The sequence below is a fragment of the Homo sapiens genome, chromosome 7 (assembly GCF_000001405.40).
Source record: "Homo sapiens chromosome 7, GRCh38.p14 Primary Assembly".
In the NCBI taxonomy this organism is placed as follows: Eukaryota; Metazoa; Chordata; class Mammalia; order Primates; family Hominidae; genus Homo; species Homo sapiens.
This window is the reverse complement of record NC_000007.14, coordinates 128,850,106-128,872,212: the sequence shown is the minus strand read 5'-3', so window position 1 is coordinate 128,872,212 and position 22,107 is coordinate 128,850,106. Positions and strand designations below refer to the sequence as shown.

Below are 22,107 nucleotides of genomic sequence, written 5' to 3'. Positions count from 1 at the left end.
CACCTGTTTGCCACCCTTCAGCTGGGCAATGGAGATATACAGAGAACAAGGAGACTAGGTGCTTGTCTTTAGATCACAGGCTAGAAATAGCATGACAATAAACAGGCAGCGGAATGGATACTGTGAGCCTTGAGCCTATTAATTTAAATGAAACAGACTCTCAAATTGTTTGTTAAATAATAGATCTAGCAAAGCCATAAGCTTTTTATTGTTCCATCATGCACATGAGAGAGAAGAAAAGTGCCAATAATTATTTTCTGATGGACAGAGAAGTTTTTACAAGTATTTTACATCTTGAGAAGACAGGGATATCAATTATAACATTATTACCAGAGAAATAAATTTTCTAGTAAGACAACAGATGAGAATTACAGAAGTGGGAGGTTGGAGATTGTTTTTGCAGTTTGTGGCAATTATTTCTAAAGGCCCAGGAGTCTCCTTTGTTTAAAAAACTCTTTGAAAGATGCGTTTTCACAGAGAGTGCACCCATTTGGTTACTGTTAGGAATATTCACACGTCTGTATATTGCACAAGAGAACAAGATGCAGTATTCTTGGGAAAGTTCTCAATTTCAGACCTTATGAAATCCCTTTTAACTGGTTTTTATGGATGCAGAACAGCTCTCCTTCCTCCACAGCTGCAGGGGAGCGGCAACACATCATCTCTTTTTTTAGATTTCTTTTGTTAATTATGAACACTTGCAGTTTTTAGGCCAGGCTCTGGCCTAAAATTTCATCTTGAATTTCCTTTGATTTTGCTGTCAGAAACAAAGAAAAGGCTAAGGAAGGTTTTTCTGAATAAGAGTAAAAAGTAAGACGCCCAGAGCGGGTTTCTTCTCTGGGCCTGATGGGCACACCAGGGCAAAGTGGGAGTGGCCGGTGCTGAGGAACCCAGGCACCCAGCACCGTGACCCTTCTCACTCCCAGGCCTCCTGTGGTGGTCTTGAGGAAGGGGCTGTGCAGGTCCCTCTGGAGTGGTCTGCCTTGGCTGGGAGGATGAGAAAGATGGGGCAGGCTGTTGGCAGGCACACCTGACAGGTGCATGGCTGGCTGATTGATGAACTGTGACAGCCTGAGGTTCAGACAGCGCCCTCAGGGCACCCCTAGCCATGCACTGGGACTCCCTAAACTTCCTGGCTCTAGTCTAGGTGAACTGTGCATGAGGGGCTGGGACATGAGCTCCCAATACTGGTCTTTCTTCCTCAGGCTCCTTACAAGAGCTCAACCCCACTACCAGGAGGAGTTTTGGGGTGCCAGGTAGCTCAGAGTGCAAGGTGAAAAGGTCAAGGGTCTCAGGTTGGGGATGGCAGGGGTGGGTCTGCCTGGGAGGAGGCTGCTGGGGTGAGGAGGAGGCTCTTCAGTGAAGCACCTTCCACACTACATAAAATGGCTTTAACAAATTCAGGAATCAGGCAAAGGCTGGCCCCTGGGGTCTGCAGGTTCCCTCTCAAACCTGGGCCCAAAGTGCTTTTCCTTTCCAGGACCTGGCCCAGAGGGAAGAGAGGAGTGAGGCAGAGCCTGAGACCCAGAAAAGAAAGCTCACTCCCGGGACCCCTGGGCCGGGGGACCTGCCCTCCCAAAACCTGCCTTCCCAAGATGCCCTTGAAGGGCTGGGCTCGGACCCGCACCTGGGCCAGGAGAGAGCAGAACTTCAAAGACCACCAAGGATGGACACCCCTGAGTCTGAGAGGAGGACCCTCAGGATCAGAAAGCGGAGACCCCTCAGCGTAAGAGAGCCGAGGCCTCCTGGGGCGAGATCAAAGATGCTCCTCAGAGTCAGAAGGTGAAGACACACGGGGGCCAGAGCCCAAGGGCTCCTCAGGGTCAGAGGGAGGAGTCGAAGAGAATTTAGTCCTAAGTGCCAGGGAAAGGCGAGTCCCCAGAGTCCAGGGAAGAAGATGCTGCGGTCTTGGGAAGGCAATATCTCACAAGCCTGGGAGGTGGCTCCCGGAGAGGCCACTGTGCAGCCCCCAGAGGAAGGCGACCCCCATAGCCATCCGAGGGACTCCTGCGGGTCCCTGAAAGCACAGACTCCAAAGCCTGTGGGCAGGGAGAGCCCAAACCTCCGGAGAAGGACTACCACGCTGACGCAGAGCATGATCAAAGGCGAGCCACAAAGGTCGGCACCGGCGGTGGCAAAGCTGGGGGCCGCCCGGGAGGGGGCGTGGGCTGCGCTTACCCGCCCGAAGCCCCCGGCCCGGCGGCGGCTCCCAGGTCGCGGAGCCGGAGCCGAGATGCCAGCGACCCTGCGCGCCGAGGTATCCGGGCAGCAGGGGCTCCTCGGGGCTCTCCGGGGCCCCCAGGCCTGGAGCGCGATCCGCACGGGCTGCAGGGCCCTGGAGTGGGCCCCGCACCGGGGGAGCAGGAGGTGGGCCAGGCTTGGCTTCCGGGTGCCCTCCGGGGTCGGGTGGGGCGGCCCTGAGCGTCCCAAGGCCTTGAAGGCCGCGTGGCCGGCGCCCCTCAGCACCGCCAAGGCGCCTGCGGGCTTAAGCGCGGCGCAGCAGGTGACGGCTCTGCAGCGGCTGCTGGAGCTGCACAGCGCGGCCAGGCGGCAGCGCCGCCGGCGGGACCGTGAGCAGCAGCGGCTCCGGGTGTGTCCCCACGCCGGGATCGGGGCCTGCCTGGAGCGGGCGGGGCACCGAGGGGCGGCCGGACGCTGACTGCCGCCTCTGCAGGTCCTGGAACGCCTCCACATCGCCAGGAACCGCCACTGCCGGGTTCACCCCGTGGGGCTCCCGCCCAGTCCGGCTCAACTCCCGCCACAGGCAAGACCCCTAGAAGGCGGTGGGGCCACAAGGAGCCTGCGCGGGGCAGGGGCCGAGCTTAGCGCGCCCGGGTCCCTTTGAAGTGAGCGCACTGCACTCTGGCAGTGACTCGGCGGGGCGCGAGGGGCAGGTGTGCCAGGTGCTGCCCCGCCCGCCCCACTGAGCCGCGGACGCTCAGCGCTCCGCACCGCCAGGAGGACGCGGCTGGGCGGCGGCGCGCCCTGCGGGAGCAGCTGGAGCAAATGCATCGGGAGAGGACGGAGCGGCTGCGGGCCCTCGGGGCCAGGTGAGGGGCGGGCAAGGAGGGGTGTGGCGGTGGCAGGAGGCCCCTTTCCCTGGCCTCCGAAATGACAAGCCGCTCTCTCCCCAGGAACACCCAGAACTTCCTGGAACTACTGTGTTCCCCTGGTGCTGAGGATCCCGTGCCTGCGAAGTAGTGCTCGCCCTTCCCAGCACCCTCTGGTCATTGCTGAGTCCTCAAAGGGATGATTAAAGTGATGAGGGTTACGGAAAAAGCAAGAGGGCAACTTGCAGGTCTGATAGTTTCAGAAAGGCCTGAATGCAACCTCAGGGACAGGGAGAGCAGAGGGGCACAGACACACACAGCAGCTTTGCCCCACCAGGAGGCCTGTTATTTCTTCTTCCCTCCCCTAAGCCCACACCTGGCCCACGGTCAGAGGGCCAGGTCTCGGGGATCAAGCAGTGCGAAGGCCCCGTTCTTGCGGAAGAATGACTCAATGCGGCACATCTTGCAGGAGACCAGTTCTTGCTTCACTGGGGGGCCTGGGAAAAGATGTCAGAGGCCAAGCATGGGTTCCTGAGGGAGGGACACGCAGAGCATGGGAGCCCTGTCTGTCTGCACAGCCCTAGGAATCCGTCAGTGGAGTAGCCACTTTGTGGGAAGAAATAGAAAGTGCTTTGGAGGAATGGGAGCTATGGGCAAATACTGGGAGCTGGCTGGATGCCAGGATACAGCAGCCATCTGCCATCATTACCCTAGCTTCAGGATCCTCTACCTGCAGGGAGGGGGGCCACCCTAGCCTGCTTGTCACAGGGACAGACTGTGGAGAGATGAGATTTCCTTCGGCCTCCTGCTCCCCGCTTCTAGGGCTCGCCTCCTGCTTTTGTTAGAAAGTTATTTCCCTGACTTCCCCTTTAGGGGCCTGGGGGAAAGGGATGTTTGGGGGCAAAATCTCAACTGAGTCAATCCCCAACCATCCACCTTTTCTGCAAGACACTCAAGCAGCTGGAGAAGGGTACAGGGCTGAGGAGTCTCACTTGACATTCATGAGCACAGACAGCAATGGGACGTGCAGCAACATCGCCCAGCAGCCCTGCCTGGCACATGCCTGTTCCACACCTTTCCTCTTCATCTCTAGTTACTCCACTGCCTCAGCTCAGCTCCCTCCCCGCTGATGGCCTTGACTCAACCTCACAGAAAAAAGACTCAGCCGAGATGGACAGGCTTCCTGCCAATGACATCCCCTACCCGCTCTGGCTCAGCCCTCCTGCCCCCACTCCCATCAGATTCCAGCAACTTGAGCTCCCTAGGAGATCTCATGGATTTAAATAGCACCTATAGGCCAGCCGGTGGCTCATGCCTGTAATCCCAGAACTTTGGGAGGCCGAGACAGGCAGATTACGAGGTCAGCAGTTCGAGACCAGCCTGGCCAATATGGTGAAACCCTGTCTCTACTAAAAAAACAAAAATTAGCTGGGCGTGGTGACACACGCCTGCAGTCCCAGCTACTCGGGAGGCTGAGGCAGAAGAATCTCTTGAACCTGGGAGGCAGAGGTTGCAGTGAGCCAAGATCGTGCCACTGCATTCCAGCCTGGGTGACAGAGTCAGACTGTTTCAAAAAGAAAAAGAAAAAAAAAAAGCACCTATATTCCAATGACCTCCGAATTTGCATCTTCAGCTCTGACTTCAATCCAGACTTATAGACACAGCCACCCTACAGACACTTCAAGCATAACATAGCCAAACACACATGGCTAAATAGGACCTGTTCATGCACGCTCCAGCCCTGACCTCTCCCAGTCTTCCCTGTCACTGCAGCTTTAGCTAAACAAACACCTGGGTGATTGATCTCTCTTCCCCTTATTCTCACATTCTATCCATGGGTGAGTTCCACCGAGTCTTCCCCCAAAACATCCTGAATTGATTTCAGCTCTATTGCTGATCCCTCAGGCCACTACCACAGGATAACCAAACAGATGCCCAACTCATGTGCCAGATTCTACCATTTCCCCTGAAAAAGCCACTGCCTACATACAGGTCAGGGTGACTTTTTAAAAGGTTCACCAGTGTCACTCTTGAAATCTGCTTAGAACCCTCCATCAGCTTCCCTGCACAACAAATAAAATCCAAACCCATCCTTATCATCTGGCTCTCAGCCTCGGGTCCTCAGAAAGGCCTTTCCTGACAATCCAATAAATAGCAGCACGTGGCCGCTGCCTCCCTGCCCACCGCCACTCCCTAGTTCTGTGGAACGTGTCGACACTTCTTGGCCATCTCCTTGCTCTGTTTATAGTCTGGACCCTTCACCAGGATGCCCACTCCCTAGCACATGGCTAGTGCTCTGTTTTTGAGGTGATTTCCAAGAGGTTGGGCTCACCCAGCTGCCAGCCATACGTGAAGCTGGTGGTGATGGGGAAGAGGTATCGCGTCTCTGGCATGTCCAGTTTTCGAGTGTTGAGGTAGCGGTACCGCCCCTGGAAGTCGTGGGAGATGCCTTCATACAGCAGGGCTCGGGTGATAGGTGGTACCGGGTACATTTCCGACTGAAAAGGCGCCTCTGGGACAGGGCTGGGCACCTTGGAAGGGGCTGACTTGGGGGCGGGTGGGGGTGAGAGTGGGGCTTTGGGGTGCAGGGTGGGCAGTTTGAGGGGCAGGCGGGCTGCAGCCTTAGCCTTCTGCTTGGCCTTCACCATCGACCCATACTTGCGGTACCATTCACAGCGCAACATCTTTTCCCTCAGATATTCCTCCTTCCAGAAGTTCTGCCGTAACGCGTCTATGTTGAGCTGCCGTGACATGGTGGCCAGGGAAGGAGTGGCACCAGGGTGGCCACAGCTGAGGGGTGAGCACAGCAAGCAGAGTGCTTCTGACGGCGAGTGGCTGCCCAGGCACAGTCACCTGGCAACCATGCCTCACCTCACACAGGGCCAGGGTTCTACTTGCCATGCCCCCAGCAGACCCCATGAGCCTGGCTTCCTGAGGCAGCCTGAGGCCAGGGCCCACTGGTTAAGAGCCCTGCTCCCCCCAAAACTCCCGCAGGGCCCTCGCGGGATCTGGCATCACAGACTCCCAGGTTTCGTGTGCTTTCTGCTTCTGTCCTTTGGATCTGGCCCCCTTCCCAGCCCAATGCCGAGCAAGGTGGGGGAAGCAGGAGCTGGGCTCAAGCCTCCTCCCATTCCTCCCCAGACCAGAGCTGGTCTTCTCTGATCCAAGGACCAGTCCTTGAGTTCTGCCTCCCGGCACAATCCTCCTGGGCCACCTCTTCTATGCCTGTCTTTGGCAGCACCTTTTCCATCCTTGCCAACCGAATCTGCCCCATGGCCTCACCCCACACATGTCCTTTCCAGCACCCAACCCATCTGGAGAGAAGCAAGAATATGACTTTAATTTAACATCAACAATGACACTGTGTAACAGCACAGGGAAGAGGTAGTGGAGGGAGATGGTCAGGCTTCCTGTTCCTTAACCAGCAGAGCCCCAGCAACCTAGAAGCGCCTCACCTAGCCTCTTAATGGAGTGGGAAGGAGCAGGGAATTGGAAATCAGAGGCTCAAAAAGTAAAGAAGGCTGATGGCAAGCCTGGGGAGAGGCCTGGAAACGAGGGAAGGGCTGAGGGCTATGAGGAGTCCCCTAGCGCAGGTCTTCGGCAGTGAACATGCCCCTGGCCCTGCGCAGGATGGAGTCCTTGGCGGCGTCATATGGGTGCTCCTTGGAGGGGATCTCCAGGACAGCGGGGATGGACTGCTGGTGGGCGTCCAGGGCATGCCGCACCATCTCTGCGATGTACTGGTTGATGAGGATGATGCCAATGTCATCCCGGTTTAGAAATTGCCTGTGGGGAGAGATGAGAAGGGAGTCCAGGACAGCTCTGGGGGCTGCCGTCTCTCCTACCCAGGCAGCCCTCTCCGAGTTGTTGGGCTGGGCTGTGGAGGGGAATGAGCATGACCCAGAGGGCACAGAGGACAAGGGGAAAGGCTGCCACGCTCAACCCTCTGTCAACCCTACCTAGAATCAATTTCATCCCAAAGCGGAGGGTCACGCTGATTAGGGTTGGCTTCTACAACACTGCCCGGAAGGCTTCCAAGTGAACTGGTAATGAAGATTGATTAGGGTGCACACTGGTGTATTCAATATGCAGTGATGTGTCAGAAAGGGGAAGGATAAGATTATATGTATGCAGATCCCTTTTTATGTGCAGATACTGAAGGCCAGCTGTGATGGCTCACGCCTGTAATCCCAGCACTTTGGGAGGCCGAGGCAGGTGGATTGCTTGAACCCAGGAGTTTGAGACCAGAATGGGCCACATAGTGAGACCCCCATCTCCCTCTCTCTCTCTCTCTCTCTCTATCTATATATACACACACAAAAAAATGGCTGGATGTGGCGGATCTATCTATCTATCTATATATATACACACAAAAAAAAAATGGCTGGATGTGGCGGCATGTGCCAGCTACTTGGGAAGCTGTAGTCCTAGCTATTTAGGAAGCTGAGGTGGGAGAATCACTTGAGCCTGGGAAGTCGAGGCCGCAGTGAGCTGCGATCACGCCACTGCAATCCAGCCTGGGTGACAGGAGTGAGACCCTGTCTCAGAAAAAAAAAAAAAAAAAGACACATTAACTTTTAAAAAGAAAACAAATTATTTAAAAATAGGGCTGATGAGACCACTGAAGGCCTCAAGGTCTATCCTGATGAGGGTGGTGGAGGGGTCAGAGGGAAAGTTTGGCATGAACTAAGATCACAAGCTAGGAAGAGGACACCTTGATGAAGGAATCACACTTTCTGCACAAAAAGAACCTGGCCTTGTGCTCCTTCTCTCCTGTGGTCACCCACCCATTCATTTGTTTATTTTATTTTTATTTTTTTGAGACAGGGTCTCCCTCTGTCACCCAGGCTGGAGTGCAGTGGTGGATCTCGGCTCACTGCAGTCTCCACCTCCCAGGTTCAAACAATTCTCCTTCCTCAGCCTCCTGATTTCTTGGGATTACAGGCACCCGCCACCACGCCTGGCTAATTTTTGTATTTTTAGTAGAAATGGGGTTTCACCATATTGGTCAGGCTAGTCTCAAACTCCCGAGCTCAGGTGATCCACCCGCCTCGGCCTCCAAAACTGTTGGGATTACAGGCGTGAGCCACTGCACCCAGACTCATTCGTTTATTTACTGATTAAAAATTACTTACTGAGCACCCACCCCCTGCCAGTCACTGGGTTAGATTTGATCTCTGAGGTCCCTTTTGGTTGGAAACATAAAAAATTCTTGAAGTAAAATTTGTCCTTCTCCCATGATAACTTGGGTCACTTTACCAGACAGCTTAGAGAATGGCAGATAACAGCCTCCCAGGTCAGGGACTACCTAATACACCAGGCAGCAGGAACCAGTCTCAGCCAGCAGCCCTGGGCTGGACTGTTTGGGGGAAACAGGTGAGTGGTTTATTCCTGAGACTTGGTACAGGGGCCCTGGAGAAGGGGTGAGGAATAAAATAGGAGGCTGGTATCCTTAATTCCAGTCACCAGGACCCCTGGTGGATTAAAAGCATGCCTGCACCCACACTCTGACCTAAGGCAGGCAGTGAGGGCTTGAGTGCAAGGTCTTAGCAGAAGGCTCTCACAGTCCCGACATTTCTGCCTACTGTGCTCAAGACTACAAGGAAATTCCGAGGCCGCCTGAGGAGACCTGCCAAGAGTGTGTACCTGGCTTACCGGAGGCAGAAAGGGTTGAGATTGGGTTCAAATTCTAGCTCTGCCTCTGCCGACTCGTAACTTTAGTGTGTGCCTTACCCTCTCCGAGCTTTAGTTTTCTCACCTGTGAGTAGGACAAAAATCATCCCTGCCTTACGGGACGATGGTGAGCCTCTAAAGGAGGAGAAAGCAGAACAAAGTCCAAGCCCACTGTCTAGGCTGTCACGAGCTCTGTTCCCCTTCTTTCATGACACACGATCATGTGAGGTGGGGGGGCTCGTGGACCTGATACAGCTTCTGTCCCACCGAGCCCCAAACGGGGACTTGGGGCGCGGAGGCCTCCGCTCCGGAAGGGCGGAAGGACTTTCAGGATCGTCCCCTCACCCCCGTCCGGGCAGCCTCCAGCCTCGCCCCGCACTCCACCGAGCAGCAGAAGGGCCCGTTCAGGCCTCGCGCGGTACCGTACCGGAAAGTGTCTTCGATCTCATTGATGGTTGTATCCTTCTCCACCACCAGGAAATTGGGATGGCGGTTCTTGTTAAGCTCCCCTATGCCGCCCAGCAGGAAACCAGTCACCGTGTCCTCGTCTCCGATCACTGCGATGAGCTTACCCCTCCCCGCCATCCCTGCAGCCGGGCAGAGCTCACCCTAGAGCACCAGAAGCCACTGAAACCCCGCCTCCGCCGTACGGCGCCCCGTCGGCCTCAACCCCCACCCTTCGAGCATGCGCAGTCCTCCCAGCCGCATTCCGGGACATGCGCATTAACAGCAACACGGCCTCCATGTGAATACGCCTGCGCCGTAAAGACAGGCCCGAACCAGGGGACTACGATTCCCAGAAGACCGCGCGGCACCACGTCCTTCGCGGGCATTCATTCGTTCATTCACTCGTTCCTTGGTTCATTCGTTCAACAAGCGCTTTGGACCTGACGCTGTTAGACGCCGAGACCCCAGAGAAGAGACGCAGTTACTCATCTCAAGGGCAGGGTCTGGGTCTTTATCGTGTATGTATGTGTGTAACTATGACACATAGTTAACAAGTAACACACGTTTGTTCAGTTAAAGGAATGCAAAAGTTAATGATGATACTGCCTAGTGAGGTGGAAAGTCAAGGGAACAGGCGACTACAAAGCTGTGTGTTAATGGTTAGAATGTGAAAAGTATATGGAAGCACACATCCATGGTAACTAACCCATGGAGAGAGGGGGCGTCCAAAGAACCCTTCCCCAAGAAGCTTGCTTCAGATCTAAGCTGAGACCTGAAGGACCTGCAGGATGAAGGGGATAGAAGTGAGGACAAGACGGTGTTCTAGGCAGAGGAACAGCATGTGCAAAGGCGTACTGACTAGAGAGCGTAGGGCCTTCAAGGAAAGTTAAATAATTGGTAAGGCCAGGCATGGTGGCTCACGCCACACCTGTAATCCCAGCACTTTGGGAGGCTGAGGCAGGTGGATCACCTGAGGTCAGGAGTTTGAGACCAGCCTGGCCAACATGGCGAAAACCCGTCTCTACTAAAAACACAAAAAATTAGCCGGGCGTGGTTGTGGGCGCCTGTAGTCCCAGCTACTCGAGAGGCTGAGGCAGGAGAATTGCTTCAACCCGGGAAGCGGAGGTTGCAGTGAGCCGAGATTGTGCCATTGCACTCCAGCCTGGGTGACAGAGCGAGACTCTGTCTCAAAAAAAAAAAAAAAAAAAAAAAAAAAAAATTAGCCAGGCGTGGTGGTGCACACTTATAGTTCCAGGTACTCGAGAAGCTGAGGCAGCAGGGCTTACTCAGGAGTTCAAGGTTACAGTGAGCTATGATCACGGCACTGCACTTAAACCTGAGCAGCAGAGCGAGACCCTGTCTAAAAAAAAAAAAAAAGGATCTGCAGGCTGGGCGCGGTGGCTCACGCCTGTAATCCCAGCACTTTGGGAGGCTGAGGCGGGTAGATCACCTGAAGTCAGGAGTTTGAGACCAGTCTGGCCAACATGGTGAAATCCCATCTCCACTAAAAATACAAAAAAAATTAGCCCAGTGAGGTGGTGTGTGCCTGTAGTCCCAGCTACTCGGGAGGCTGAGGCAGGACAATTGCTTGAACCCGGGCAAGGGAGGTTGCAGTGAGCTGAGATGGCGCCACTGCACTCCAGCCTAGGTGACAGAGTGAGACTCTGTCTAAAAAAAAAAAAAAAAAAAAAAAAAGATCTGGAAGTTATCCTGAGGACAGTTATCCTGAAGCTGCTGAGGGATTTCAAGTAAGAGAGTGCTATCGCCAAACTTACGTTTTAGAGCTGTCACTCACTGTTGACTGTGCTGTGTGCAGAGGCGAAACTGAGGGAGGAGAAACCAAATTGGGAGGCCACTGTGAGAGATAATGGTGGCCAGGACTCAGGTGGTGATAATGGGAAACGCAGAGAAGTAGGTAGAGCCGAGAGATATTTAGATATTTAGGACAAAACTGGTTTCAGAGTGGATGTGTTTGGGGAGTGAGGTAGAGAGAGAGACCTGGGTGATTTCCAGGTTTCTGGCCTGTGCAGCACATGGATGGGAGTAACATTGCCAAGAAAGTGACCTCTGTAAGATGAGCAGGCTGAAGGGGAAGGAGCCACTCTTTCCTCCTCCCTTTTAACAAATCAGCACTCCCGGTGTCTGGCATGGGGTTTGTGAGTTTGGAGTGCTTGAGACGTGCCCGTGGTCTGGTCTAGCGATTGTATGTGTGATAAGCTTGGGATTCGGGCACACCTGGGTTTCAATCTGTGCCCCACTACTTAAAGGTACGGTTTCAGACTCATCACTGAAATTCCCAGGGCCTTGGTTTCTTCAGATGGTAGTAGCCCCACCTCATAGGGCTGTTATGAGGATTAATGAGGAAGGGCCTGTAAGGCTCAGCACCCAGGGCCACACTGTGGCTGGCTGGAAGCAGGCAGGCTGGAGGTCTGTGAGCTTATCAGCCACACACAGGTGGAGGCAGCCGAAGCTGAGGGGGAAATTAGCACATCTAGGGGTGAGGGTGAGGGTGAGGGGGGCAGAGAGTGAGGATGGGTGTGTGGGAGGGTGTGAGGGAAGAGGGAGGAAGCACAGAGCCTGGTGAGAGAGGTGGGGAGGTCAGGGATTAGGAGTTGGGGACTCGTGGGTTTTTCTGCCAAGCCCACCACCATGTGCTGAAATGCCCAGGTGGGTCTAGATTGTGGGATCAGTTGAATGAAAGACTTCTTTTCCCTGCTGCAGCTACTCAGCTGCTCATTTATTCATTCATACCCATTCACTCACTCATTCACACCCAGGGCCAGGGAGCTCCATCTGGTGGGGAGCCGTGGATACATGGCCACAGCTCAGGGTCGTAACTGCAACTAGAGATGTGTCCCAGGGCAGTTTGGGAGCTGGGGGCACTGATCCAGGAGGGGTAGGGAGGGGTCCAGGAAAACTTCCTGTTGGCCAGGAAGATGAAGAGGGTGGGGAGGCAAAGGTGTTTCCGGGCAAGGGCCCAAATTACAGCATGGGTGCCCAGAGGTAATGAAGGGGGGTTGGAGGTGGAGGGCACAATGGAGAGTGGGCCTGCTGCCCAACTCATATGGCTGGGGAGGCTGCTGTCTGAACCTGGGTGGCCCTGGAGACCTTGTCAGGAAGAGGAGACTTTACTCTGGAGCAGGAGGGAGTCACAGATGGCCCTAAACCAGAGAGGGGCATATACTATCTTTAAAGTGACCCCCCCGCCAAGCTGCAGCATGGAGGGGAGGTTGGAGGGAGCTGGCCAGGGCAGGGCTGTTGCAGGAGTTCAGGAGGGAGGCCCTGTGCAAGCTTAGTGCTGGAAAGGGGCATGAAACAGGCCAAGTTGATTCAGGAACTGACTAGGGGGAAGGTGCTGAGTCTGCAGGTGGTTCTGCCTGCCTGCTGGTTGAGGAATATTCCTGTTTGAGTCAGTGCTCACTGTTTTAAAGTCTTAATTTGAAAAACATCCTTGAGGTCAAGCTGAACTGAAACTGGCCTCCCAGGGGTCCTGGGACAGTACTGTAGAACACAGTATCCACACCCTGTACTGTCCACGAACCCTCCCGCTGGGACCCCTTCCCACATCCCCGAGCCCCCACCCCCGGTTCTTTCAAGCACTCTGCCAACATCCCAGACCTCACTTCTGCCCCAGGACCTTTCCCTCGACTGGGTCAATCTTCCAGGGAACAGCCAGGCCGCCTCTGCCTCCCCAGGGCCCGGTTTTTCGTGTGGCAGGCCAGAGGGCAGCCAGCCACACAGAGCACACCCCCAAGGAACAGCCAACCCTCTGCGACAGCCGCACTTTATTTGGAGTTTTCCACCTAAGCAGCTCCCAGCTGAGCTGCATGACATGTGCAAAAGTCCCCTAGAAAGCTGGGCCTCGCAGTGTGTAAAAAAGGCCCCCCATGGGGCAGAGCCGTGCAACCATTTTAAAAAAAGAGACAGTGAGAGAGAAATCAGGCCCCCTGGGAGCCTGGCTTGGGTGGAGTGCACATCGCTCAGGCCGGTCCATGTGCCAGGCCACTCCTGCTGGTTCGGGGGCTGTTTTCTTCTCTGATTGTGCTTTCCTTTCCAAGTCCTTAAAACTCTGGGGTTGTAGCCACCAGAGAGACCAGACCAAGTCCTCGGGGTCAGGAGGGTATCTGGCCGGCGGTGCAGTTTGAGGGTGACCTCACACACAGACACCCACAACACAATGCTCCCCCACTGCTCAGCCCCGCCAGAAACTCAGGGCTTCCCTGGCCTCGCAGCCCTCGCCAGCCCCTTGTGTCCCAGCCTCTGCCCCTGAGCCTGGCCCCAGTCGGCCCTCATGTCACATTCCCAGGGAGGGACACTGTCCTGACACAGACAAGGTCCTCCAACCCCTGGGGCGCGGTGGGGTGGGGAGGCTGGGCCTTCACTTCACCCCCAAGGCAGGTGTTTGTAGTGTCTGATTCTGTGCGTGTCTGGGTGTGGCACATTTGTGTGTGTGTGTGTGTGTGTGTAATGTGTGTGTGGCTGGAGGTGGGGGCTGAGGCTGGGGAGGCACTTTTGGGATTCAAGGGACCTTGACTTTGAAGGGGCTTCCAGGGACACTTTCGTCACCCCACTTGACAATGAGGATGTAGTCCCCTTTCTCCTTGACAGTGTAGGTGACATTGTACACCCGGTTCCCCATGTGCTTCACGTACACCTCCTCACAGGGGGTCTTGGGGCCGTGCACGCCCACCATCATCATGTTGGTGCCTGGAGAGGGAGGCAGAGGGACAGGCTCACACCAGGGAGTCCCCTACTGTGACCCACACCCTGCTCCCTGACGGCTTCTTGCTCACACCCCGGGAGACGCCCTCCCCCCGCCACCTGCCTGCTTTGCTGCAGTCCACGGTGAAGGAGTTCTTCTGGCCCACGAAGGCCTGGGACAGCCCAGGGCCCCGAGTCACCACCTTGCTGGCATCTGAGGAGAACTTGGGGATGGAGCTGTAGCTGGAGCCCCGGCTTGAGGAGGACTTGGTCACAGTCTCCACCAGAACCGTGGATGTTTCGTGAAGGCTGTGGCCTCCGGACAGCCTCGGACCTGAGGGGTGGGTGGAGGGGGCACAAACCTAGTCAGAAGGGCTTCCTGTTCTTCCCCAGGCAGGGGACCCTCGGCCAGCACTGCCACCCTGTGGGACTCACTGCCTGCATTTGAGGCTCCCCCTCAAATTCCTCCAAGGGCCACTCTAGGAGCACAGCCTCATTCCCAGCCAGGGCCCTGAGCTGCCAGCTCCAACTGGTGCTCCACCCTAGGGCTGGGGCCTCAGATGCTGCGTCCCTCATCCTTGCAGGCTTTGTCTGGGAACTCAGGCTAACTCACAGGGTAAGAGCCACTTTACAAAGGAACACCCACCCAACTCATCCTACAGACAGCCTCAAGAGGGGAAGCTTGCTCAATACCGACTGTGTCTTCTTGGAGCGGAGGAATATGGGAAGCCAGGAGGGAAGAAAGTGGTGCTAGAGCCTGAGGAGCCAGCGCAGGCCAGAGCTGAAGGAGTGAGGGGCCACGATGGAGAGGAAGAATGGCATTTTTACGTGATCATGCCCGACTCCACAGAACGTGTACTGTGTAGAGCCAGGCCCACCTCTAGCCCTGGTAAACTGACCATGATGTCTGGGGGCAGACTATGGCCTAGATGTGCGTGGCCACCGGAGCCCTCCAGGCTGGGCTGGGCTGCAGGCTGGGTGGACCTCCCCCAAACTGGCACTCACCAGTGACCTTGGCCTTGAAGGGGCTGCCCACGATGTGCTGGGGGCCACCGTACTTGATGGCAATGAGGTAGTTGCCAGGGGCCATGGGAGTATAAGTGACCACATGGCCCTCAGGACACTCCCGACAGTCCAGCTGCACCTTGGAGGGGCCATCAATGGTGACAGACAAGGCCCCCGAGCCGGCATTCAGGGTGTTCACGATGAACTCTGATGACACACCTGGGGGCCAGAGGTAGCAAGGCTGAGGGCAGGAAGGGCTTGTGGCCCAAGAGGGACTGGGCCCCAGCTCCCTGGACAGCCTCTGTGGGGACTCCTGGCTTAGGAAGCAGGGCCCCTACCTCTGGAGCAAAGCAGCACCAGACTAGTGGCCAAGCACCCCCAGAAGTCACCCTGTTCCCCAGCTCCAGGCACTCACCGGTAGTGCCTCCCTCGAGCCCAGGACCGTAGGCTGACACCAAGCCTGGGTCCCCAGCCTGGCTCTGCTCCCCAACGCGGATCTTGAAGGGACTTCCAGGGATGTGGGCACCGTTGAACTTGACATCGATGGAGTGGACGCCATTCTCGTGGGGGATGAAGCGGATGGTGTGCTTGTCTGTGGATAAAGGGTTGGTGGCTTAGCCTCCATCCTTCCCCTCCCCAGAAGGCCCCAGCCCGGAAGGGAGTTGGCAGGGGCAGGGCCAGCTCACCACTGTCCAGCTCAGAGACGTAGCACTCCTCCACAGCCCCCGAGGGTGTGTGCACCCGGGCATCAATCACGCCCCGGGCACCGTTCAGCTGCACGGCAAAGGACGCTGGCTGGTTCACCTTGAGCCCCGTCTCCTGCAAAGGCCACGGAGGATGCTCAGACTCCTGGGAGGCCGGGGCTGGAGCAGTCTTCTCTGAAGCCCCACACGGTGCTCACTGTAAGCCCAGCCCAAAGGCTGCTGCCACCCCATGCCCAGCCTGGCCCCTGCCTGCCAGCCCAGCCTGGGAGCAGGAGGAGCCAGGGTCCGGTATGCAACCCTATGTGTGCACCTGCTATCCTAGCTGTGCTTGGTGTGTGGGAGATGACAGACGATGTGCCCTGTCCTGGCTGAGGAAGGAAGGGCCCCACTCTGTGTGAAGCAGGCTGAGGGCGGAGGGCAAGTGCCTGATGGGCTGTGTGGGCTGGGGGTGCCAGAGAGCTCTGAGGTAGGAAGCTGAGTTTCACTGGCCTGGCCTGGGAGAGCTTCCTGGAGAAGGTGGACCAACAGGGAGGACCAGAAGAAGCACAGAAGGGCTCTGGGGGAGGGATTGGAGCCTGCATCGGGGAGCCCAGTTCAGGAGTGGGAGGAGGAGATGCACAAGGACTCTGGATGGGCCAATGTGACCACCCTGAGGGGCAGCCAGGAGGCGCGTGGGAGAAGGAGGTGGGGTGAAGCCCATTCTGTGCGCCTTATGCAGAAGCTCCTTTACAATGTGTCCCCTGGACACCTGGCCCCCTGGTTTGCATGTTTCAGTGTGACTTGCTGAAAGCCTTCCTTGCACATGTCCGCTGTGACAGAATGAAAGGAACACACCACATCTCTAGAAGTCAGCAGCAAGAGAAAGCAAGCCAGGCCCCCAGCGGCCTGAAGAGGATGCAGCCCAGGCTCTGCAGCCCATAGGCATTCCCTTTAGAGGAGCCTCTCACACCCTCTGTGCAAACTGGTTTACTCTTAGTTTGTATAGATTTTATGCTCTCATTCTTATAAATGTTGTCATCTAGCATTCTTACAACAGAAGGTGGAACAAACTGTAACAAGAAATGGCAGGTGGCAGTAGGACAGGCAGACACACCCTGAGAAAGGCAGAACGAGGCGTGGCATGCCTGAGTGCACGGGCAAGCCCCCAGGGTGGGAGCCCACCGTCCCCAAGGGCCCTGCCTCGTGCCTTATGAGAAGGGACTCCTAACTGGCCCTTCCAAGGTCACTGCTAAATCCCTGGCCCCATGGACCTGCTGTCCTCAACTCCTGCCCATCTCTCAGATAGCAGAAACCCTCCACCCCCACCCTGGGCACAAACCTGGAGGCTGGTGACAGTGAGACGGCGAGCGTCATCCGAGAGGGAGGCCACAGGCACCACAAAGGGGCTGTCTGGGATGTGCTCATCATTGAACTTGATGGAGACCTCATAGTCACCTGGGGAGAGAGACCAGTCAGCACAGGTTCCGGGATGGAGGTTGGCAGGGCGGGAGCCTCCCCACCCTGGCCTTATCCCAGGAAAGGCTCTGTGGTCAGCGCTCAGATCTGGAGGCAGACACATGTTTCTGAGGGTGTGGGGTAGAGGGAGACGGGGCAGAGGAAGAGCAGGGGGCTCCGGGGAGGGGAGTTCTGTGGCCCCAAGCATCTCCTGCCTGGCCAGTGGGCAGAAACCCAGTCTGGAAGGTCAGGCAGGCCCAGCCCCACTGCCAGTGTGGACGCCCACCTGGTTCCTGGACGACATAGGAGACGCCGCAGGAGCCATCTTTGCGATCCTCAAATGCAATCTCCGCTTTGCTAGGACCCTCCACAGCAATGGACAGGCCCCCAGCGCCAGCCTCCCGGGTCCAGATGCTGAACTCGGCTGGGGACAGGCAAGGTAGTGGACTTCAGCATCATCGCCCCTCACACTGGCTGCCCTGACTTCATCCCCACTCCTGGCCACCTGCCCCTTACCTGGCACGCCGGCCACACCTCGCTCCAGCCCTGTGCCTCCGGCCCGCACCTTGTGGGCACCACCTTCACCCAGCGGCCCCACAGTGAACTGAAAGGGGCTGCCGGGCACGTGCTGGCCACGGTACTTGACAGCGACCGTATGGGGCCCCATTTCCTGGGGCACAAAGCGCACGCTGTAGGCGCTGTCCTCGCCCTCGACGATCTCTGCGGCTTCCACCTTGCCCGATGGGCTGGTCACCTGTGCAGTCATGTCCTGAGAGCTGGCCTCACCTGCAGGGTTTGGGGGATGTCAGGGCAACACTGGGATTCCTCCTAGCCCTGGCCCTTCCCTCCCCCATCAGTTAAACCTCCTCCTCTGCTCAGACCTGCCCTGGCCTTCGGGGCCAGTCTGCCAGCATCAAGCCTGGTCCGCAGCACCCTCCCATCCCGCCGTGAGGACCCGGCCGGCCCAGTGTGCGGTGCTCACCCTCCTGCTGCCGGGTGATGCTGCCGAAGGATCCCAGGCGCTCCCGGCCCAGGAAGTCCCCAAACACAGCAGGGAAGGGGTCCCCGCCGACCTGGGTGGACTCCTCCACCCGCACCTCGCGCTTTGTCTCCCCGCCCCGCGTCTTGCTGATCTCCGTGCGCTCCGTGCGGGTGTAGGTGTGGCTGCTGCGTGTGAAGGTGCGTGTCAGGCGCTCCTGGGCAGACACCATCTGGAACCAGTTTCCTGTGTGGTCAAGGGAGCCAGGGTGAGGGAGGGAAGCGAGGGGTGAGGAAGCAGGGTGGAGGCCCGACAGGTGGGCTCTGGCCCGGGCCAGCCCTCTCCCACCACCCGCCCCACCCAGGGTCCTCCAGGCTTCTACCTGGGATCTTGAGGTTGAGGTCACAGGTGCTGCCGATGGTGGCGATGGAAGGTGCCTGTCTCCGCCGGGTGATGCTCTCCTTCATGCGGCCCTCGCCGGTCACCTTCACAGTGAAGGGGCTTCCTGAAGTGGGGACAAAGGGTGGGTCAGGAACCTCAGAGCCCCAGCCTCCTGGCCTCCCTGTCTCTCGCCACCGACCTCTGCCCAGAGCCTTACCAGGCACGTGCTTGTCAGCAAACTTGATGTTGATGATGTAGGTGCCGGGCTCGGTGGGGCAGTAGGTGACTTTGCATGTCCCGTCCTCCATGTCCTCACAGTTGATGTCCACCTTGCTTGGGCCTTCAATACTCAGCCCCAAGCCCCCATAACCTGGGGGAAAGCAAGGAACACATCTCCCTCAGTCCTAGGCTGGCCAAGCCACAATGCTTTCCTCTCCCCAGACTGCAGGCTCCACCCAGAATGGGCACCGATGTGTGTAGTGACCACTAACAAAAATGGCTCAGTGGGAGGAGCGGGGGCACCACGGGACAGGCGGTCTGGAAAATTCCCTAAGGTAAGCCTCTTGGATTCCAGTGAGCAAGGGAGGGACAGAAACTCAGGACAGCTGAGCTTTCTCTTAAAAGGGAGAGAACTGATGCGGGGCCATTCACTTTCCCGCAAGGGGCCCCAGAATGCGAATCCTGACGCAGACTGGTCAGGAAGTTTCAGGGAGGAGAGAGTGCGGCCAAGGGGGTGCTGGGCAGGACGAGGACAAGTGCCTGTGGGAGGCACCCGCTGGAATGGGGGCTCTCTGGGGCAGGAGGTACCTGCATTGCGAGTGTCCACGATGAACTCTGCCACCTGGAATGTGTGTCCCTCGGAAAGCCCCTTGCCCCAGACCCGCACCTTGCTGGCGTCCCCGATCTCAGATGGCCCCACCAGGATCTTGAAGGGGCTGTTGGTGACATGCTTGCCACTCTTGCGCACGCTCACCACGTGCTCCCCGACCTCCTTGGGGGTGAAGGAGATCCCTGTGGAAAGTGGGTGTTAGGCAGAGCATCCTGTGGGCCCCCACCCCTGAGGTCCCCGTGAGGCCCCACGCTCACCAATGTGCCGGTTGGGCAGGCGCTTCAGCAGGCAGGGCTCCTCGTTGCCCGAGGGGGCACGGATGCTGGCGGTCAGCTGGCTCAGATCACTCTCGGTGATCTTCAGTGACACGTCCGTGGAGGTGCCCACATTCAGCTGTGAGGTCCTCATGGAGTCATCACCTGGTGGGGGAGTTGGGGCATCAGGCTGCTATGACTCCAGGCAGGCCCTGCCCTCACAGGGCTCAGGAACCCTCCTGAGCAGCCCCCCCTGGACTCAACAGACACGGGGGGCCACTCCCAGGTGCACGGAGGCCCAAGGCCTGGAAAGTGCAGTCTGCACTCACATGTGAGCTGCCAGAGACTAAGAGGGGCCTGTACCCCAATTCCACTGTGGCTGCCTCAGTCCTTGTGGGCTAAATCCCTAAAGGAAACCTCCTGCATTTTAACCCTGAGTCACATGATGTTGTGATAACAAAACACTAGACTGGACCGCCCAGACCCCTTCCTCGCTGTGTGGCTGTAATCATGTTGCTTGGCCTCTCTGGGACAGGGGTTCCTTATCTATCAAAAGGATTATCCGTGCCCTAACTTCTTAAGAGTGACTTCATGCTGGGCGTGGTGGCTCACACCTGTAATCCCAGCACTTTGGGAGGCCGAGGCAGGTGGATCACAAGGTCAGGAGATCGAGACCATCCTGGCTAACACGGTGAAACCCTGTCTCTACTAAAAATACAAAAAATAGCCAGGCATGGTGGCGGGCGCCTGGAGTCCCAGCTACTTGGGAGGCTGAGGCAGAAGAATGGCATGAACCCGGGAGGCGGAGGTTGCAGTGAGCCGAGATCGTGCCACTGTACTCCAGCCTGGGTGACAGAGCAAGACTCCCTCTCAAAAACAAAAACAAAACAAATGACTTCAAAGACTAAATGAGGCAATGTGTTTTCAGGCACAAGGAGTGGCTGACTGCTTCTTAGCTGCCGTGGAGAACAGAGTGTTTTTACATTTATCAAAATATGACCCCTCACACCTTGAAGGGCCTCTGCCCTAATGTCACGAGTGACTTGAACGGGCTGGGCTTGCACATGAGTGCACTGTATGCGGTGTGTGTGCCTCATGGGCTGTACATGCCCATACACCCGCCTCACCTGTGATCTTGGCTGTGAAGGGGCTCCCCGGGATGTGCTTGTCATCGAAGCGCACGATGATGCTGTAGTCTCCAGGCGCAGTCGGCAGATAGGACACGGTGCAGGTGCCATCCTTGTTGTCCTTACAGGTGATCTCTGCCTTGGATGGGCCCTCCACGGCCAGTGACAGACCCCCTGTAGGTGGAGGTGTGGCCAAGATCAGAGGTCCTGCCCTCACCCCTGCCCCTGGTGAGTCTCCACCCCAGCCTGCGACCTGCAGCTCCCTCACCTTCTCCAGCATCTTTGGTGACAATAGTGAAGGTGGCTGGCTTGTTGACCATGCCATGGCTCAGGCCTGGCCCATAGGCACTGACATGGCGGCTGTTGATGGCATCCACATAGAACTGTAAGGGGCTCCCTGGGGATACAGAGAAAAAGGGGGCTGGGTCAGCATCAGGGATTATCTGAGCCCACCTTGGCCCCAGCACCTTCCAGCAGCCTCCCTGCCAACCCCCTCCGTCTGTGCCGTAGGGACCCAGCTGGTGGAGGTCTGCTTCCCACCAGGGTATAAGCCTCCCTGGGGCCTCGCCTGGTGTCTGCACACAGCGGGTGCTCAATAAATATTTGTTGAAAGAGGGAAGGCAGGACTGAAGCTACGGCCTGCTCCTCTCACCCAAGCCCCAGCCCAGCCCAGCCCCTAACTCACCAGGGATGTGGTTGCCGTCATACTTGATCCCCATCTGGTGCAGGCCTTTCTCAGTGGGTGCATACCTCACCGTGATGGTGCCGTCCTTGTTGTCGGTGATGTTGGGCCGTGCCGTCTTCCCCGAGGGCATCCGCACCTCTCCTGCAGGGCAGACACAGTTACGTGGAGACCCTGGTTTCCCCCACTGCAACCTCCCTGCTGTCCCAGGCCTGGTCCTGAGTGCTTCTGCTGCCACCCGAGAAGCCAGGCATCAAGAGACAGCCTGTGGCAGTGGCCTGAGCCCTGAACTGGGGACAGATGGCTTGCACCTGAGTTCTGGCTCTGCCCAACTTGCTGTGTGACCCTGGGTAGAGCTCACTTCCTCTCTCTGGGCCTTTGTTTTCATCATTAAGACACAGGACTGGGCCTGGAAGAGGGTTTCTCCCCTCAGCCCTCATGCCTGGGAGCCACAGGGCAGTACCTGTGAGCTCCCCTTTCTGCACCGCGAAGGGGATGACCAGGTTGAAGGGCCTCAGCATGGACTCCATTGGCTCCACAGGCACCACTGGCTCCTCTGTGGCCTGCAGCAGGTGAGAGGGAACAGTCAGTGACTGGGGAAGGCCCAGGAGTTTGACCCATGCTATGACTGAAGCTGGAGAGTGAGGAAAGAACAAGGTAGTTAATCATGAAACCAGCGTGGCAGGAGAGGTGCGTCAGCTGCAAGAGAAGGAGTGCTGTGCCCAAGTGGGGTTCCATCTGCCCAGCCTAACTCTTGCCTGCTCCCCAAGAGGCCCCCAGACCATGTCCCCGCCCTGGCTGCAGAGGAGTAGAGAGAAGAAATGAAGGAAGGGGAGGAGGA

The 22,107-nt window shown here is 57.1% G+C and overlaps 3 protein-coding genes and 1 long non-coding RNA gene across 6 annotated transcripts in view, besides 6 other annotated features; 1 reads left to right on the top strand and 3 right to left on the bottom strand.

The window, feature by feature from the left end:
* Positions 1 to 165: 165 nt before the first annotated feature.
* Positions 166 to 5,883, bottom strand: SPMIP1 (sperm microtubule inner protein 1). Its single transcript, NM_001195150.3, has 2 exons — positions 5,383 to 5,883; positions 166 to 3,547 (listed from the first exon to the last, which is right to left on the bottom strand). Exons 1-2 carry the CDS (start codon positions 5,801 to 5,803, stop codon positions 3,438 to 3,440), a joined length of 531 nt encoding a protein of 176 aa, NP_001182079.1. The 5' UTR covers positions 5,804 to 5,883; the 3' UTR covers positions 166 to 3,437.
* Positions 2,076 to 2,195: a silencer, noted in NCBI's record as "silent region_18619". NCBI's record gives its function as "represses an Ori minimal core promoter by ATAC-STARR-seq in GM12878 lymphoblastoid cells {active_cell/tissue: GM12878}" and the evidence as "EXISTENCE:reporter gene assay evidence [ECO:0000049][PMID:35858748]".
* Positions 2,256 to 2,775: a silencer, noted in NCBI's record as "silent region_18618". NCBI's record gives its function as "represses an Ori minimal core promoter by ATAC-STARR-seq in GM12878 lymphoblastoid cells {active_cell/tissue: GM12878}" and the evidence as "EXISTENCE:reporter gene assay evidence [ECO:0000049][PMID:35858748]".
* Positions 2,906 to 3,015: a silencer, noted in NCBI's record as "silent region_18617". NCBI's record gives its function as "represses an Ori minimal core promoter by ATAC-STARR-seq in GM12878 lymphoblastoid cells {active_cell/tissue: GM12878}" and the evidence as "EXISTENCE:reporter gene assay evidence [ECO:0000049][PMID:35858748]".
* Positions 5,884 to 6,365: 482 nt separating the features above from the next.
* ATP6V1F (ATPase H+ transporting V1 subunit F) lies at positions 6,366 to 9,357 on the bottom strand. Of its 2 annotated transcripts, NM_001198909.2 has the most exons (3): positions 9,151 to 9,357; positions 7,010 to 7,093; positions 6,366 to 6,836 (listed from the first exon to the last, which is right to left on the bottom strand). In NM_001198909.2, the coding sequence occupies exons 1-3, from the start codon at positions 9,306 to 9,308 to the stop codon at positions 6,635 to 6,637; spliced, it is 444 nt and encodes a 147-aa protein (NP_001185838.1). In that variant the 5' UTR covers positions 9,309 to 9,357; the 3' UTR covers positions 6,366 to 6,634. The 2 variants fall into 2 exon arrangements, with proteins under 2 accessions (NP_001185838.1, NP_004222.2); NM_004231.4 differs by lacking the exon at positions 7,010 to 7,093.
* Positions 9,064 to 9,553: an enhancer, noted in NCBI's record as "active region_26605". NCBI's record gives its function as "activates an Ori minimal core promoter by ATAC-STARR-seq in GM12878 lymphoblastoid cells {active_cell/tissue: GM12878}" and the evidence as "EXISTENCE:reporter gene assay evidence [ECO:0000049][PMID:35858748]".
* FLNC-AS1 (FLNC antisense RNA 1) lies at positions 9,587 to 22,051 on the top strand. Its single transcript, NR_149055.1, has 4 exons — positions 9,587 to 9,688; positions 18,816 to 18,928; positions 20,713 to 20,812; positions 21,808 to 22,051. It is a non-coding gene; the product is annotated as an FLNC antisense RNA 1 (long non-coding RNA).
* Positions 9,634 to 9,743: an enhancer, noted in NCBI's record as "active region_26604". NCBI's record gives its function as "activates an Ori minimal core promoter by ATAC-STARR-seq in GM12878 lymphoblastoid cells {active_cell/tissue: GM12878}" and the evidence as "EXISTENCE:reporter gene assay evidence [ECO:0000049][PMID:35858748]".
* Positions 12,941 to 22,107, bottom strand: part of FLNC (filamin C) — a 28,867-nt gene continuing 19,700 nt past the window's right edge. For both annotated transcript variants that reach the window (NM_001458.5, NM_001127487.2), the window contains 17 exons: positions 21,730 to 21,829; positions 21,270 to 21,410; positions 20,853 to 20,981; positions 20,585 to 20,758; positions 19,461 to 19,622; positions 19,182 to 19,385; positions 18,592 to 18,744; positions 18,376 to 18,498; positions 17,997 to 18,239; positions 17,531 to 17,800; positions 17,301 to 17,438; positions 16,899 to 17,014; positions 15,563 to 15,695; positions 15,292 to 15,468; positions 14,877 to 15,095; positions 13,996 to 14,205; positions 12,941 to 13,877 (listed from right to left, as the gene is read on the bottom strand). In NM_001458.5, coding sequence (NP_001449.3) covers positions 13,690 to 13,877; positions 13,996 to 14,205; positions 14,877 to 15,095; positions 15,292 to 15,468; positions 15,563 to 15,695; positions 16,899 to 17,014; positions 17,301 to 17,438; positions 17,531 to 17,800; positions 17,997 to 18,239; positions 18,376 to 18,498; positions 18,592 to 18,744; positions 19,182 to 19,385; positions 19,461 to 19,622; positions 20,585 to 20,758; positions 20,853 to 20,981; positions 21,270 to 21,410; positions 21,730 to 21,829 — 2,880 coding nt within the window. In that variant the 3' untranslated portion in view covers positions 12,941 to 13,689. The remainder of the gene's footprint in view (positions 13,878 to 13,995; positions 14,206 to 14,876; positions 15,096 to 15,291; positions 15,469 to 15,562; positions 15,696 to 16,898; positions 17,015 to 17,300; positions 17,439 to 17,530; positions 17,801 to 17,996; positions 18,240 to 18,375; positions 18,499 to 18,591; positions 18,745 to 19,181; positions 19,386 to 19,460; positions 19,623 to 20,584; positions 20,759 to 20,852; positions 20,982 to 21,269; positions 21,411 to 21,729; positions 21,830 to 22,107) is intronic.
* Positions 13,520 to 14,020: an enhancer, noted in NCBI's record as "H3K4me1 hESC enhancer chr7:128498247-128498747 (GRCh37/hg19 assembly coordinates)". NCBI's record gives its function as "activates a minimal SCP1, AML or CMV promoter by ChIP-STARR-seq in primed H9 embryonic stem cells {active_cell/tissue: H9 hESC(primed)}" and the evidence as "EXISTENCE:reporter gene assay evidence [ECO:0000049][PMID:30033119]".